The 16,306-nt window shown below is 39.3% G+C and overlaps 1 long non-coding RNA gene across 1 annotated transcript in view; it reads right to left on the bottom strand.

The window, feature by feature from the left end:
- Positions 1-12,074, bottom strand: part of LOC105377401 (uncharacterized) — a 31,447-nt gene extending 19,373 nt beyond the window's left edge. Inside the window, exon 1 of the long non-coding RNA XR_939166.2 lies at positions 11,954-12,074. This is a non-coding gene — a long non-coding RNA (uncharacterized LOC105377401). The remainder of the gene's footprint in view (positions 1-11,953) is intronic.
- Positions 12,075-16,306: the final 4,232 nt, after the last annotated feature.

Raw genomic sequence — 16,306 nt, 5'->3', positions numbered from 1 at the left:
CTTCAATAATAACTGTAATGATTGTGAATATAACTTATTGAGAACATATTATGCTTTAAATGGCCAAGAAAACAAAATGAAAACGTGAAATAATTTGAAAAAAATAATATATTTGTTCTGTGGTTCAATGAGAATTGGAATTAATAAAAGTCCATGTGGGCTACAGTGACTTAGGAATGCTCAAGAAGAAAGTGGCCTTGAAGAATAAAGAGTCTTTTTAGCCGGGCACGGTGGCTCACACCTGTAATCCCAGCACTTTGGGAGGCTGAGGTGGGTGGATCAACTGAGGTCAGGAATTTGAGACCAGCCTCCCCAACATGGCAAAACCCCATCTCTACTAGAAATACAAAACTAGCCAGGTGTGGTGGCACACGCCTGGATAAGCCTGTGATCCCAGCTACTCAGGATGCTGAAGCAGGGGAATTGCTTGAACCTGGGAGGTGGAGGTTGCAGTGAACTGAGATCATGCCATTGCACTCCAGCCTGAGTGATAAGAGTGAAACTCCATCTCAAAAAAAAAAAAAAAATTCTTCAAGTGTGTGTTCAAAAAAGGCAAGAGACTCTTGGCAGCTGGTGATGGTCAGCAGCCAGTAGAGAAGGATTAAATAAGCAAAGCCATGGAAACTGTAATGTGAGGGATCGGTGACAGGAAAAGTAGGATTTTTTTTTTTTTTTTTAAGAAATGGACAACTTTCAAAAGAAGACATACATGTGGCCAGCAATCATTTAAGAAAGCTCAATATCACTGATCATTAGAGAAATGCAAATCAAAACCACAATGAAACACCATCTCACACCAGTCAGAATGGCTATTAGTAAAAAGTCAAAACATCACAGATGCTTGCTAGGTTATGAGAAAAAGGAACACTTATACACTGTTGGTGTGAGCGTAAATTAGTTTAGCCATTGTGGAAGACAGTGTGGTGATTCCTCAAAGACCTAAAGACAGAATAAATACCATTCGACCCAGCAATCTCATTATTGTGTATATACCCAAAGGAATAGAAATCATTCTATTATAAAGACACATGCACATGTCTATTCATTGCAGCACTATTCACAATAGCAAAAACATGGAATCAACCCAAGTGCGCATCAGTGATGGACTGGATAAAGAAAATGTGGTACAAGTACACCATGGAACACTATGCAGCCATAAAAAGGAAAAACATCATGTCCTTTGCAGCAACAGGGATGGAGCTGGAGGCCGTTATTCTTAGCAAACTAACACAGGAAGAGAAAACTAAATACTGCATGTCCTCACTTACAAGTGGGAGCTAAATGATGAGAATACATGGACACATAGAGGGGAACAATACACACTGGGACCTTTTGAAGGGTGGAGGGTAGGAGGAGGGAAAGAATCAGGAAAAATAACTAATGGGTACTATGCTTGCTTAATATCTAGGTGAGGAAATAATCTGTATAACAAATCCCCATGACACAAGTTTACCTACGTAACAAACCTGCACTTAAACTAAAAGTTAAAAAAGAAGCATTTAATGAAGGAGTCTTCTTGCAAGGTGCTTCATTACCCCACGCAAACCTGTAAGGCAGGTATTATTTGCATATTTTATATAGACTGCAGAAGGCCTTATAGGTAAAGGAGTTTGGGATTGATATTAGAGAAAGCAGAGACCTATTGTAGACCTTGAGCAGGAGAGCAGCAGGTTGAAAGTGATGTTTTAAGTAGGAGGAGAGACAGCCCGGTCCCCACTGAGGTATCCATTAGACTCATAACCTTGAGAGGATAAAGGGAATGAAAAATCTGAGAGGCATGTACAATGAATAAAGTCCAGGCATTATGTGAGGCTGGACAGAGTAGATGAAGAATGAGGAATTGACTATAATAGTAATGGATCTGGAGTAGGAGAAAAAACGAAATGATGTCAACAACAAACATAACGAAGATAGTTGGTAAAGGAAATCTATAATGAATGTGTTTGGTTTGGGAAAGTGATGGGACACCCACGTATCAATATCTTAAAACTTCTGGAAATATGAGTCTATGGCATAAGTGAAAGATCAGGACTGCAGGTAAAGGTTAAGAGAATATTCACCAGGGTAATGGAGGGACTCACAACAGTAAGTCTAGAATATGCCTAAAATTCACCTGATTAAGGAGTAACAAAAGAGAGAGAGAAACAGACTAGATAGAAAGCATAGACTCACTAAAACGTAAAGAGGGAGAATTTCAATGAGTTAGGGCTGTAGTAAGAGGTACAGTTATTAAGACAAGGGGATTTTCATTATCCATAGAGAGTAAAATAATCTATGTAGAAAACCCAAGAGACTCCACTGAAAAATCTCACAGGACTAATAGAGGCATCCATAAGCCACTTACATATAAAATGAAAATATAAAAATCAATTGTATTCATTTAAATCTGCTAAAACCAAATAGAAAGCAAAATGAAAAAATTCATCCTCTTCAACAAGTAATATAAATATAAATACTTAGGAATAACTTTCAAAAGAACTGTTAAAAATAAAAGACAGTAAATATGCTCATTTCTTCCAAATTAATTGATAGGTGGAATGCCATTCCAAGCAAAATTCTAGTGGAATTTTTTTGGGAGGGAAACATGAAAACATGATTTTAAATATCGCTGAATGAAGGAACAGCCAGCAGAGTAAACAGACAACCCACAGAGTGAAAGAAAATCTTCACAATCTATACATCTGACAAAGGACAAATATCCAGATTCTACAACGAACTCAAACAAATTGGCAAGAAAAAAACAAACAATCCCATCAAAAAGTGGGCTAAGGACATGAACAGATAATACTCAAAAGAAGACATACAAATGGTCAACAAACGTATGAAAAAGTGCTCGACATCACTGATGATTAGGGAAATGCAAATCAAAACCACAATGCACCTGTAATCCCAGCACTTTGGGAGGCCAAGGCGGGCAGATCACGAGGTCAGGAGATCGAGACCATCCTGGCTAACATGGTGAAACCCCGTCTGTACTAAAAATACAACAAAATTAGCCAAGCATGGTAGCGGGCACCTGTAGTCCCAGCTACTCGGGATGCTGAGGCAGGAGAATGGCGTGAACCAGAAGGCGGAGGTTGCAGTGAGCTGAGATCACGCCACTGCACTCCAGCGTGGGCGACAGAGCAAGACTCCGTCTCAAAAAACAAAACAAAACAACAACAACTAAAAAACACAATGCAATGATCTTGTGGCCCATCTTCTGAGTATACCAGTTGGGTTTTTGTAGACTTGCTTTAATTGCTGTCTTTCCAGATATTTGTTCTATGACTTGAAATTCAATTATTCTGTGGCTACAGGAAGCTTTTAACTAATTTAGGTTGAGATTTTCTGTATTTTTCTGTTTCTCTTTTCTTTTCATCATTGAGAGTAAATTCTTGATTTAACCTTTATTAAGTGTCTCAGTTTGGGAATCTTGATAGAGACTGTTTCTAACACAGTGCCATTTCTAATGGGAGAGGATACTTAGAAAAGACAAGAACTCAGTACATTAGGAAATACTTAGGTCAAGAATGGCGCAAAACATCTGGAAAACAAACTTTAAAAAATCGATATTTGCTCCTTGTTATGATTCAACTTTTTCCTAATCACTCTTTTTCTCTGAAGAAATGAAAATCTCAAAAATGCCCACAATGTAATATAATAATTCAGTGCAAGCCAGGTGGAAGTCCTTGGCAACCATTTCAGTGAAAATCATTTCCAAGGAACTCAAGTAATACTGTCCATCAGCCATACCTCCTATGAAAGGATTTTGAAATCTGACTCTCAAGGTTATTCCCTCAGGAGCGGAGTAGTCACAGGATGAGTTTTCAGATCTTTTCCTCCCACAAAAGCTCATTTTAAAAAGGATAAATGAAGAGGAAACCTCATACATCAAGGGTACATGTTAATGGAGATTAGTGTCTCAACAGAGAAAATCTTAAATTGGCAAGGCCAATGCTGTTTAATTTCAGAAAAATCTTATGCCTTTCAGGAACTAAAAGTAGAGGCATTCATTTTTTTTTCTATCTAAAGATTTCTCTTTCCTATAGTTTTCAGCGTGAACCTAGTTTTGTGCTTTCTGTTTCTCCAGGGGAAAATGGAATGATGAGGAGAAGGGCAAATCTAGCAAAGTAGATGTCAATTGTAAGTGAAATTCTATTTTTTTGTGGGTGCCTGTGAGCTGATGCTGTGATATAAAGGGCATTTTAGAGTTATGAATTTTTCTTACTGAACTAAACGATAAAGTAAATACCACAGGGGCATTTATTCAAACCCAGGTTTGAAGTCATTTGGGTTATCAAAATAGCAAAGGTAATATCTGTGCCCTTTCCTTTGCCTCACAATGTTTGTTAGCTGTTATGCAGAGTGAAAAAATAAGGGTAAGGGTTACATCTTCTGGGTGATAGTTTCACTAATGAAAATATCAAAGTCTGGATCTCCTGGACAAAAACATGAAGAATTTGCTTATCTTCGCGTACAGACTCGTGCTTGCATTTCCTTCATAATTACTATTTGAAATTATGAATAACATTTTAGAATAAAAACTTCCTTGAAAATGTTTGGGGCACATTTACCATCCTTATCCCTGTGGCAGTTTATGGGCTCAGACTCCAGGCAGATAAATATATGTAAATGAAATCACCTAGAAGAGGGGACAGTGTGCTGGGGCTTGCGGAAACAGGAGAGAGTGAGCATCACCTGACCGGCTCCACCTCTTGGAGTCTGGCCGCTCTTGCCACATGGGAATGAGGTCTCTTGTTTGCCAGTGACCTTTTGCTAGAGAATCCCCCACTTTGGATTTTATGTAAAATTTATTGATTTTAAAAGATTAGCAATGAGTGAAAACTTTAAATTAACATTTGGTGGGCCAAATACTCTGAAGGCTAAAGAAATCATGACTGCAGGCAGAATCTCAAACATGAGCTATCAATTTTCATCAAAAATATAGACATTCCACACTTGTCCTCTGTAAGCGGAGGCTTTAAAAATAGAACATTTTCTAGAGAAAAATGGCTAACAATGACAAGATCAGAAAGTGTTTGATGGAGCAAATGTAATTTATGTGCCTTGTTTAGATTCTAATTTAAACAAACTATCTGCAAAGAAAAAAAAGTGAATTTAGAAAAGACATTGGTTGGATATGAAGGAATTATTAATGTTGATAGCTCTGATAATAAGATGGTAGTTACAAAAGAACATTTTCATATTTTTAGAGATACATGCTATGGTTTATAGGAATAAAATGAAATGATGTCTCAGATTTACTTTAAACTTCTTCAGCAAGAAATAAAAAGAGGATACACATGGAAAAAAGAAAGCATTTGATAGCATGGTAAGATATGCCATTTCTGTCAATGTGTCTACCATAATAATGATGTCTTATCTCAGCCTTTCCTCCTAATCTTCCTTTATCTTCTCTTTTATTCTGTGATTATTGGTACCTTGAGCACATACATCTTCTCAAAAAGACTCTGAATCTTCTCAACCAAGGCCAATGGCTCGTCAAAATCACTGATCCTGCAGATTGTCAAGGAAGTTAACAGAAACTGTGAACTAGAAGAAGTATTGGAAACAGGAGTGAGGTACAAAGACAAACAAGGTATAAGCCTTGTTGTGCAGGATTTTGTTGTCTAGGTGGAAGATGATGTAAAGCAAAGAACTGTGATAGAGTATAAGATAACTTTATTACTTTGCTGTATTAGTTTGATTGGTGCATTATTTTGCTAGGGCTGCTGTAACAAAATATCACAGCTGGTAGCTGGAAACAACAGAAACTTATTCTCTCACAATTCTGGAGACCAGAAGCCCAAAGTCAAGGTGTCAGCCAGGTTGGTTCCTTCTGGAAGCTCTGAGGGAGTATCTGTTTTATGCCCCTCTCCTAGCTTCTGGTTGTTGCCAGCAATTTTTGGTATTCCTTGACTGGGAGATGCAGCACCCCAATTTATGTCTCTGTCTCATATGGCATTTCGCCCATGTGGGTCTGTGTTCAAATTTCCTTCTTATGACACTAGTTATGGGATTAGAGCTCAACCTAATCCTTATCTCAACTCTTTACATTGCAAAGACCCTAGTTCCAAATAAGGTCACATTTGCAGGTATGAGATGTTTGGACTTTGAATTAATCCATTCTCATGCTGCTAATAAAAACATACCCTAGACTGGGCAATTTATAAAGGAAAGAAGTTAATTGACTCACAGTTCAACATGGCTGAGGAGGCCTCAGGAAACTTACAATCATGGCGGAAGGGGACACAAACATGTCCTTCCTCACATGGAGGCAGCAAGAAGTGCCAAGAGCAAAAGGGGGAAAAGCCCCTTAAAAAACCATCAGATCTCACGAGAACTCATTAAATTACCACCCACCAGGTCCCTCCCATGACACGTGGGGATTATGGGAACTATAATTCAAGATGAGATTTGGCTGGGGACACAGCCAAACATATTAGACTTGACCATATATTTTTGGGGACGCAATTCAACCCAGGAGAGGCAGGCAGAGAGAATGATGATAGTAGAGAGAAAGGAGCAACTAGTAGCTTAGGGGAGGAAGGAAGATTTTTTAGGGAAAGTGATACAAGAGCCAGATCTTGCAAAAGATAAGTAGGTATTTGTCACATAAAGAACAAGAGAAGATCGTTTCAGATATATATCACAACACTTGGAAAAACATAGATACATTAGAAGAATAAAACAAAGTTTTGTGCAGTGAAACATAAGGCATGTAGCACTGGCACTATAGGGAAAGAGGCTGGAAATGCAGGTTGATATCAACTTGTAAAGGACTCTAGAGACATGCTTAGGAACTGGTCTTCATCATGAAGTAAATAAGAACCTACCAAGGTTTTGCGGCCAGAAAGGTGTGCAATCTGATTTATGTTTTAGAAAGATGCCTTTGAGCAACTGTGAGAGGGATTGAAGAAAGCAGAGAACAGTCTGGGGAGATCACTTGGTTCCATGGCTGTTGCAGTAGTTCAGATGAGAGAGAATAAGAGCAAAGGCTAAGGATGTTGAAGGCAGAGTTGATCAGACTTAAAAGAGGAAGGAGTGAAGATTTGCTGAATTTCCTATATTAGAAAACTAGTAGATGACAAGGTTACTATTTATAGCAGAGACAGAGAATGTAGAGGTTTTGGTGAGAAGGTAATGGATCAGTTATGATCCCACTGAATTTGAAGTGCTGGTGGACATCCATGAGGAGTATACAGGTATGAAGCTGTAAAAGGATCTGGAGCCTTAGTTTGGTAATGATTGTGAATTGTCCTGAGGGCATTAAATTGATGATGAAGACCTTGGACTTGTCTGTTAGAGTCTAATGGACTCTAGGATTCCTTTTGGCTTTCCCCTTTCCTACCTACTATAAAGCAGTGTACAGCAGCAACAGAGGCATTGCTCGTTGTGGACCAGGGCTATTGCATAGGCAGTGTGCCCAGAGTAGCAGCTCAGGGGCAGTTCTGCAGTCTTATTTATACCTGCTTTTAATTACATGCAAATTAAGGGGCGGATTATGCAGAAATGTTTAGAAAAAGGGTGGTTACTTCTAGATCGCTAAGTTGTTGCTATGGAAAGGGGTGGGTAATTTCCAGGTATTGCCATGCCAATGGTAAACTGACATAGCATTGGTGGGTGTGTCTTATGGAGAGGTGCTTTTGACTCTGCCCTGTTTCAGTTAGTTTTCAATGTGGTCTGAGTCCAACCCTGGCCTCTGGAGTTGAGACCCAACTCCTACCTCAGGGTCACTAAAAGCCCTAGGTTATTTGGTGAAGGACCTTACATTGGCCTCTGTGGCTTGAGAACAGAATGTCTTGTTTTTTAAAAAAATAGTTTTGAATCTGTGTTACACTCCCTGGCACATACAAGCTTCTCTGCAGTGCTGTGAGAGTGGTAAGGCAAGGGACCAGCATAAAATTATTTCCTCAATGACATACAGTAACACAACAATACTTTTCACATGAGATTTAATCTGCACACTTTTCTAACATTATCATCCTAATGAAATTTCAACATGTAACAAAACGTCATAGGTTTGGAATGGAAAGGATTGTTCTCTGCTCTTGAAATCACACATGTGGAAGAGCCCTTGAGAGCTCAGCTAAGTCCAAAGTTTTCAAACTGTGCTCTGGAAAAGCTAATGTTCTTCAGGGGAATACGTGATGAATGATCCCAAGTTTCAGAAAATCTGCTTGATTTCTTTTCTATCCTGGGTTAATTATCCTCTCTTCTTTCTCTAAATACTTTCCTATATTTATAGAAAATCTTTTTTATTTATAGCTCCATATGTTTGTTTATTTCCTTCCTCCTATCCCATAGGTGGAGTTCTGCCCTTCTCTATGCCTCTAGCTGGTTGTTTCTGCAATTGCCTATAGTTTGCTCTTGGCCTAAGGCATAACATTCTCATTAAAAAAGAGATTATCAAATGTTAAGATAGCTGTTAAAGGGAATTAATAGATGCTTAAAGCTTTCTCCCTGATGTAATGAAGAGGAATCAAGAATAGCTTTGATAAAGGTAGAGCTTTGAAGGGAAAGTGAGCAGTGGAGTACTCCCATGTCAGCTAGAAGATAGAAATCCAACACATATATATGTTGAGTGAGTCATGATTATCAGAAATATTGGTGGGCTTGTCTATTTCTAGAAATTTTTAGATTGAGTAATTTCTAGAATGTAAACTATAAGTTTTCCTTATAATCTAAAGTTGGAGTTTTGATAAAAACAGCTATCTAGACAACATGCTCATGCTCCTGAGTGTGACAATATGAGACGCAGGTGACATAAATGAAAGAACACTAATCCATGTTTTTGTATTAAACCCTTTTCTTTTCAAATTAAATATATTATCTTCCTTTGACTGGTACTACATTTTTCTAAGTTACTTTTTCTGTCTGGTGTCTATGTTTCAGGGAAATTGCTTCCAGATGGAAACATTTGGCAATTGAACTGCTATTACTCCGGCTGTTTCCTCCTGCAGGAGGAGATTGTTGAGCTTCAGAAAACGTCATTCTCTTAAGATTGGTCTTGGGTGTGATTGGTTTTCACTCTTTCCTTCAGATGGAATAGGTCACTACTTGCTCTTGGGTGTTTTCACATATTCTGCCCTATTTCTAGGCTCTCAGCTAGGAAGTAAGGTTGACGTTGTAGTGTAAAAAACATGAGCTCTGGAGCCCGCTGTGCTTGTAGTGAATCCTGGCTCTGCTCCCTTCTGTTTATTGAGCAGCAAATTTTCAGAGTCTCTATTTCTCTCTATAACATGGAGTATAATAACCCCAAGCCCCATAAGGTCATAGTTACTTTCCAGCACCGCTACATCACAGGTAGATCCCTCCTCCTCTCCGCAAGTATTGGTATTGGCTATGACATGTCAGTGCAGTCCTGAAAGGTTATTGTTTAGGTAATGCCTTAAAACTCCTAAAACATTCTTCTGTCTATACCCAAAGATTGCAAAGCCAAGATTTTAAATTCAAGACATTATCAGAATCCTAGAAAACCTCTGTTGTTGCACTGAAAGGATCTCTTATCTCTTCGAACTCCGGAGCTGATAGATTCTTTCTCAGATGTAAAATTAAATCTTGCAGTTTGCTGAACTACTGTGTAGGTTTAATTCATAATTTGCCAGATCTTTTATGTGAAAGTTATGACATCAAATGGAAAAGAGTAAAATCCTAGGAATTGAAAGATGGACGTTTTGGAAAATCAGATGAACACGAGTGCCTCAACTTCCCAACACTACTGAGTTTCTCTCCTCCCTCTCTGCTAAGTTGTTCTTTCATTTCCTAAATAGCTTAAATGACCTTACCTATGCTGTCTGCCTTACAATTGAGATGTCAGTTTCATGTCATAGCCCATCCATAACACTCCTCATTGCCAACTGACCTGTAGCTGGAGTTCAAGTCCATGCCTCAGAGAATTTGTGCAAAGTCTACCCCATGAGAAGATGACTTAGTCTAAAGGAGTTATAGCTGCTGTTGTTTTTTTAGTAATGTATGCCAAGGATACACACATACCTGGAGAGTATGTGTGAGAATATATTGTAAAAGCACTAGACTCACTTTGGTAAAATCAGTCTGCCTTGACTCACCAGCATATAAAAGCCATAGCCTTTACTGAGTGATTCACATGCTCAGGACCTTTGAATAAGGGGAAGGGGGATAAAAAGGCCTCTGTGATAATACCCCAGGCATGTAATGCAAATCTTCCTCTTGGTCTTTCAGAAAGAGGCCTGAGGCCATTGATTAATGTAATCATACCCTGAGGGCAGAGAAATAACTAGAACTTTGGGGGCTTATTGGCTCTGAGCTGCTGATAGCTTTTAGGGATTATGAGAATTCCCACTGAATACCTTGGGGATTATTTTTATCCAGAATACCACTGTGGTTCATCAGTGGTGGGAACTTGTATGGGTCAGGTGATTAAAACTTTTGGCTTATTTTTCGTAGATACCCAGAATGTCTGTCATACTATTGTAGATTGTATGTCCATTTCCAGGATATATGGCTGGATTATACATATGTCCAACCACCAGAATTCCTCCATTTGCTTCCTGACCCATGGAGTTAGAATTATTTTGACAAGGAGAAGCAGTGAAAGCCTCTGAAATTACCCTTACCTACCAAAATAATAAATCAAAACAATTCCTCAACCTGGGAAAATTCACAGAACTTAGTATCACCATCAAAAATGTCAATAAATAAAGGAAAGATGCAGAGGTAGTTATTCTTGTACATCCACATTTAGTTTACCTTGTGAAGAATACATATGGATTCTCGAAAAGTATAGTGGATTAGTATCAACTTAGTCATGTGGTGACTACAATTGCATCGGCTGTTTCAGGTGAGGTTTCCTACCACAAGAGATCAATATTACTCCCAGCACTTGCAGGTAACTATCAATCTAGCACAATTTTTTTTCTTTTTCCTCTGCTGTAAAAATTAAAGAACACCAGAAGCATTTTGCTTTTTCTTTTGCAAGGATAGGAGCATATCTTTACATTTTCCTCAGGGTTTTGTCAATTCTCAGTACTCAGTCATTTGATCTGCAAGATACCATTTATCTCAGTATTCCAAATAACGTTATTATGATCCAGTATACTGATAATATTATGCTGATTAGACTCGGTGAATGGGAAGTAGGAGGTATCCTATATGTCTTAGTAAAACACTTGCCAGAGTAAGAATAAACTCATGAAAAATTTAGCAGCCTTTCACATCAGGCAATTTTCTGGATATCCAGTATTCTGGGGTAAGTTGTAATATCCTTCTCAAAATGAAAGACAAATTGCTGCATCTTGAGTTCGCCATCACTAAGTCTAAAGCTTTTTGGTTTTCTTTGGATTTTGTTGGCAATGTTTACCATATTTGAGTGTATTGCTCAAGTAGTTATGGCATAACCTGTGAGGTTCCTAGCTTTGATGGCACTTGAAACAAAGAAGCCTCTTCAGTTTGTTTATGTTGCTGTGGAGGAAGCTCTGCCAATTGACCTTGATGATCTAATGTTTCCTGTGGTCCTTGAAATGTCTGTAGAAGATCACAATGCTTTATTAGGTCTGGGCTTGACCTAATGGAAAAATTGCAGTGAAAGTCCCTAGGGTTTTGGAACAAAGATATGCTTTATTTGCCAAAGAACTATTTTCTTTTTGAGGAATGGCTTCTGATTTGCTATAAGCCAGAACCTTTTATCCTGAGTCCTCAAGTAACCATCTGAACTGAACTGCCCTGCACAAAATGGGAACTATTTTATTCATAAAGCCTTACATTTGGTTATACCCAGCAGGGCTTTATCATCAAGTGGAAGCATCAAGATGGGACCTGAGCTGGACTTAAGACTTAATTTAGTTACATAATCATGTAACTCATACTTGCAGTGCACCAACTTCTGCTGTATTTCCATCTTGTCATCAGCTGATACCTGTAGGCAAATGTGGAGCTCCATGTGACCAACTGGAGAACAATTTGAACATGGCTTTTGGGTGCTCTCACCTACCATCCCAAAGCAAACTCCTGTAGCATTTCAGTTCCATTCACCGGGTGGCTCTGAAAGATACTGAAGCAAAGAAAATTATCCCTTGCCCTGGGCAGAACTTCCAGGAGTACATCTGATTCATTGCTATGTCTGGAAGGAGAACTGTCAGAGGCTTGAGTCACACTGATTGAGAAGCTGTGGATAATGCTTTGGTAGAAAGAATAAGATTGGAAGATTCATGACAAGGAGATTTGGGAAGAGTATAATGTGTATAAACTTCTCAAAATGGGATCAGACTGGGGGAACATTTGTGTCCCATGTAAATGTTCACCAAATGTCCCTCCATGCAGAAGGCAAAAATCAGTAAAGGCACATAGGCTCTGACAACACTATCAGCCACCTTGACCTTAATAACATTTGTAAGACACTGTACTCAATGGTTGCAAAATACATATTCTTTTTAAGTGCACATGGTACATTATCCAAGAAAACCGTATTCAAGAAGATACAGTTAAAAAATTGAAATTCTACATGTTTTCTGACCATTTTGGACTTAGAAAAAATATTAATAACATTAAAATGTATGGAGAAAAATCCAAATATTTGGAAAGTAAACAACATATTTCTAAATAATCTATGAATCAATGGGGAAATCATAAAGGAAATTGGAAAATACTTTAAACTGAAAGATAATAAGAATATAATAACTCAAATTTACGTGACGTAACTATAGCAGGGCTTAGAGGATAATTTATACATTTAAATGCTTATATTAAGATGAAGAAAGGGTGACAGGTTTGAAGATGGCCAAATAGGAACAGCTCCGGTCTGCAGCTCCCAGAGGGATCGACACAGAAGATGGGTGATTTCTGCATTTCCAACTGAGGTACCTGGTTCATCTCACTGGGACTGGTTGGACAGTGAGTGCAGCCCACAGAGGGCGAGCTGAAGCAGAGCAGGCATCACCTCACCCAGGAAGTGCAAAGGGTCGGGGATTTCCCTTTCCTAGCCAAGGGAAACTATGACAGACTGTACCTGGGAAGAGCGGGACACTCCCCCATAAATACTGTGCTTTTCCAACGGTCTTAGCAAACAGCAGACCAGGAGATACTATCCCACACCTAGCTTGGTGGGTCCCACACCCACAGAGCCTTGCTTACTGCTAGCGCAGCAGTCTGAGATTGAACTGCAAGGCACCAGCCTGGCAGGGAGAGGGGTGTCCACCATTGCTGAGGCTGGAGTAGGTAAACAAAGCAGCCTGGAAGCTCGAACTGGGGGAGACCACCACAGCTCAGCTAGGCCTGCTGCCTCTGTAGACCCCACCTCTGGGGGCAGGGCATAGCTGAACAAAAGGCAGAAGAAACTTCACAGACTTAAACATCCCTGTCTGACAGCTCTGAGGAGAGCAGTGGTTCTCCCAGCATAGTGTTTGAGCTCTGAGAACGGACAGACTGCCTCTTCGAGTGGGTCCCTGACCCCATGTAGCCTAACTGGGAGACACCTCCCAGTAGGGGACGACTTACACCTCATACAGGCAGGTGCCCCTCTGGGACAAAGCTTCCAGAGGAAGGATCAGGCAGCAATATTTGCTGTTCTGCAGCCTCCACTGGTGATACGCAGGCAAACAGCGTCTGGAGTGGACCTTCAGCAAACTCCAACAGACCAGCAGCTGAAGGATCTGACTGTTAGAAGGAAAACTAACAAACAGAAAGGAATAGCATCAACATCAACAAAAAAGACATCTACACCAAAACTCCATCTGTAGGTCACCAACATCAAAGACCAAAGGTAGATAAAACCACAAAGATGGGGAGAAACCAGAGCAGAAAAGCTGAACATTCTACAAATCAGGGCACCTCTTCTCCTCCAAAGGAACGCGGCTCCTTGCCAGCAATGGAACAAAGCTGGATGGAGAATGACTTTGACGAGTTGACAGAAGTAGGCTTCAGAAGGTCGGTAATAACAAACTTCTCCGAGCTAAAGGAGAATGTTTGAACCCATAGCAAGGAAGCTAAAAACCTTGAAAAAAGATTAGATGAATGGCTAACTAGAATAAACAGTGTAGAGAAGACCTTAAATGACCTGATGGAGCAAAAAACCATGGCACAAGAACTTTGCGACACATGCAGAAGCTTCAATAGCCGATGTGATCAAGTGGAAGAAAGGGTATCAGTGATTGAAGATCAAATGAATGAAATAAAGCGAGAGGAGAAGTTTAGAGAAAAAAGAGTAAAAAGAAATGAACAAAGCCTGCAAGAAATATGGGACTATGTGAAAAGACCAAATCTATGTTTGATTGGCATACCTGAAAGTGACGGGGAAAATGGAACCAAGTTGGAACACACTCTTCAGGATATTATATAGGAGAACTTCCCCAATCTAGCAAGGCAGGCCAACATTCAAATTCAGGAAATAGAGAGAACACCACAAAGATACTCCTCTAGAAGAGCAACCCCAAGACACATAATTGTTAGATTCACCAAGATTGAAATGAAGGAAAAAATGTTAAGGGCAGCCAGAGAGAAAAGTCGGGTCACCCACAAAGGGAAGCCCATCAGACTAACAGCAGATCTCTCTGCAGTAACCCTACAAGCCAGAAGAGAGTGGGGGCCAATATTCAACATTCTTAAAGAAAAGAATTTTCAACCCAGAATTTCATATCCAGCCAAACTAAGCTTCATAAGTGAAGGAGAAATAAAATCCTTTACAGACAAGCAAATCCCAAGAGATTTTGTTACCACTAGGCCTGCCTCACAAGAGCTCCTGCAGGAAGCACTAAACATGGAAAGGAACAACTGGTACCAGCCACTGCAAAAACATGCCAAATTGTAAAGACCTTTGATGCTAGGAAGAAACTGTATCAATTAACGGGCAAAATAACCAGTGAACATCATAATGACAGGATCAAATTCACACATAACAGTATTAACCTTAAATGTAAATGGGCTAAATGCTACAATTAAAAGACACAGACTGGCAAATTGGATAAAGAGTGAAAACCCATCAGTGTGCAGTATTCAGGAGACTCGTTTCATGTGCAGAGACACACATAGGCTCTAAATAAAGGAATGGAGCAAGATCTACCAAGCAAATGCAAAGCAAAGCAAAGCAAAGCAGGGGTTGCAATCCTGGTCTCTGATAAAACAGACTTTAAATGAACAAAGATCAAAAGAGACAAAGAAGGCCATTACTTAATGGTAAAGGGATCAATTCAACAAGAAGAGCTAACTATCCTAAATATATATGCACCCAATAGAGGAGCACCCAGATTCATAAAGCAAGTCCTTAGAGACCTATGAAGAGACATAGACTCCCACACAATAATAATGGGAGACTTTAACACCCCACTGTCAACATTAGACAGATGAAACAGACAGAAGGTTAACAAGGATATTAGAACTTGAACTCAGCTCTACACCAAACATCTACAGAACTCTCCACCCCAAATCAACAGAATATACATTCTTCATAGCACCACATCACACGTATTCTCAAATTGACCACATAATTGCAACTAAAGCACTCCTCAGCAAATGTAAAAGGACAGAAATCACAACAAACTCTCAGACCACAGTGCAATCAAATTAGTACTCAGGATTAAGAAACTCACTCAAAAGAGCACAACTACATGGAAACTGAACAACCTACTCCTGAATGACTACTGGGTAAGTAATGAAATGAAGGCAGAAATTAAAATGTTCTTTAAACTAATCAGAACAAAGACACAACAAACCAGAATCTCTGGGACACATTTAAAGCACTGTGTAGAGGGAAATTTATAGCACTAAATGCCCACAAGAGAAAGCAGGAAAGATCTAAAATTGACACCTTAACATCACAATTAGAAGAACTAGAGAAGCAAGAGCAAACACATTCAAATGCTAGCAGAAGGCAAGAAATAACTAAGTTCAGAGCAGAACTGAAGGAGATAGAGACACAAAAAACCCTTCAAAAAAATCAATGAATCCAGGAGCTGTTTTTTTGACAGGATCAACAAATTGATAGACCACTAGCAAGACTAATAAAGAAGAAAAGAGAGAGGAATCAAATAGATGCAATAAAAAATGATAAAGGGGATATCGCCATTGATCCCACGGAAATACAAACTAGCATCAAAGAATATTATAAACACCTCTATGCAAATAAACTAGAAAATATAGAAGAAATGGATAAATTCGTGGACACATACACACTCTGAAGACTAAACCAGGAAGAAGTTAAATCTCTGAATAAACCAGTAACAGGCTCTGAAATTGAGGCAATAATTAATAGCCAACCAGCCAAAAAAAGTTCAGGACCAGACAGATTTACAGTTGAATTCTACCAAAGGTACAAAGAGGAGCTGGTACCATTCCTTCTGAAACTATTCCTATT

This window comes from Homo sapiens, chromosome 4, assembly GCF_000001405.40.
Source record: "Homo sapiens chromosome 4, GRCh38.p14 Primary Assembly".
NCBI classification, from domain to species: domain Eukaryota; kingdom Metazoa; phylum Chordata; class Mammalia; order Primates; family Hominidae; genus Homo; species Homo sapiens.
This window is presented reverse-complemented; position numbering and strand designations above follow the sequence as displayed.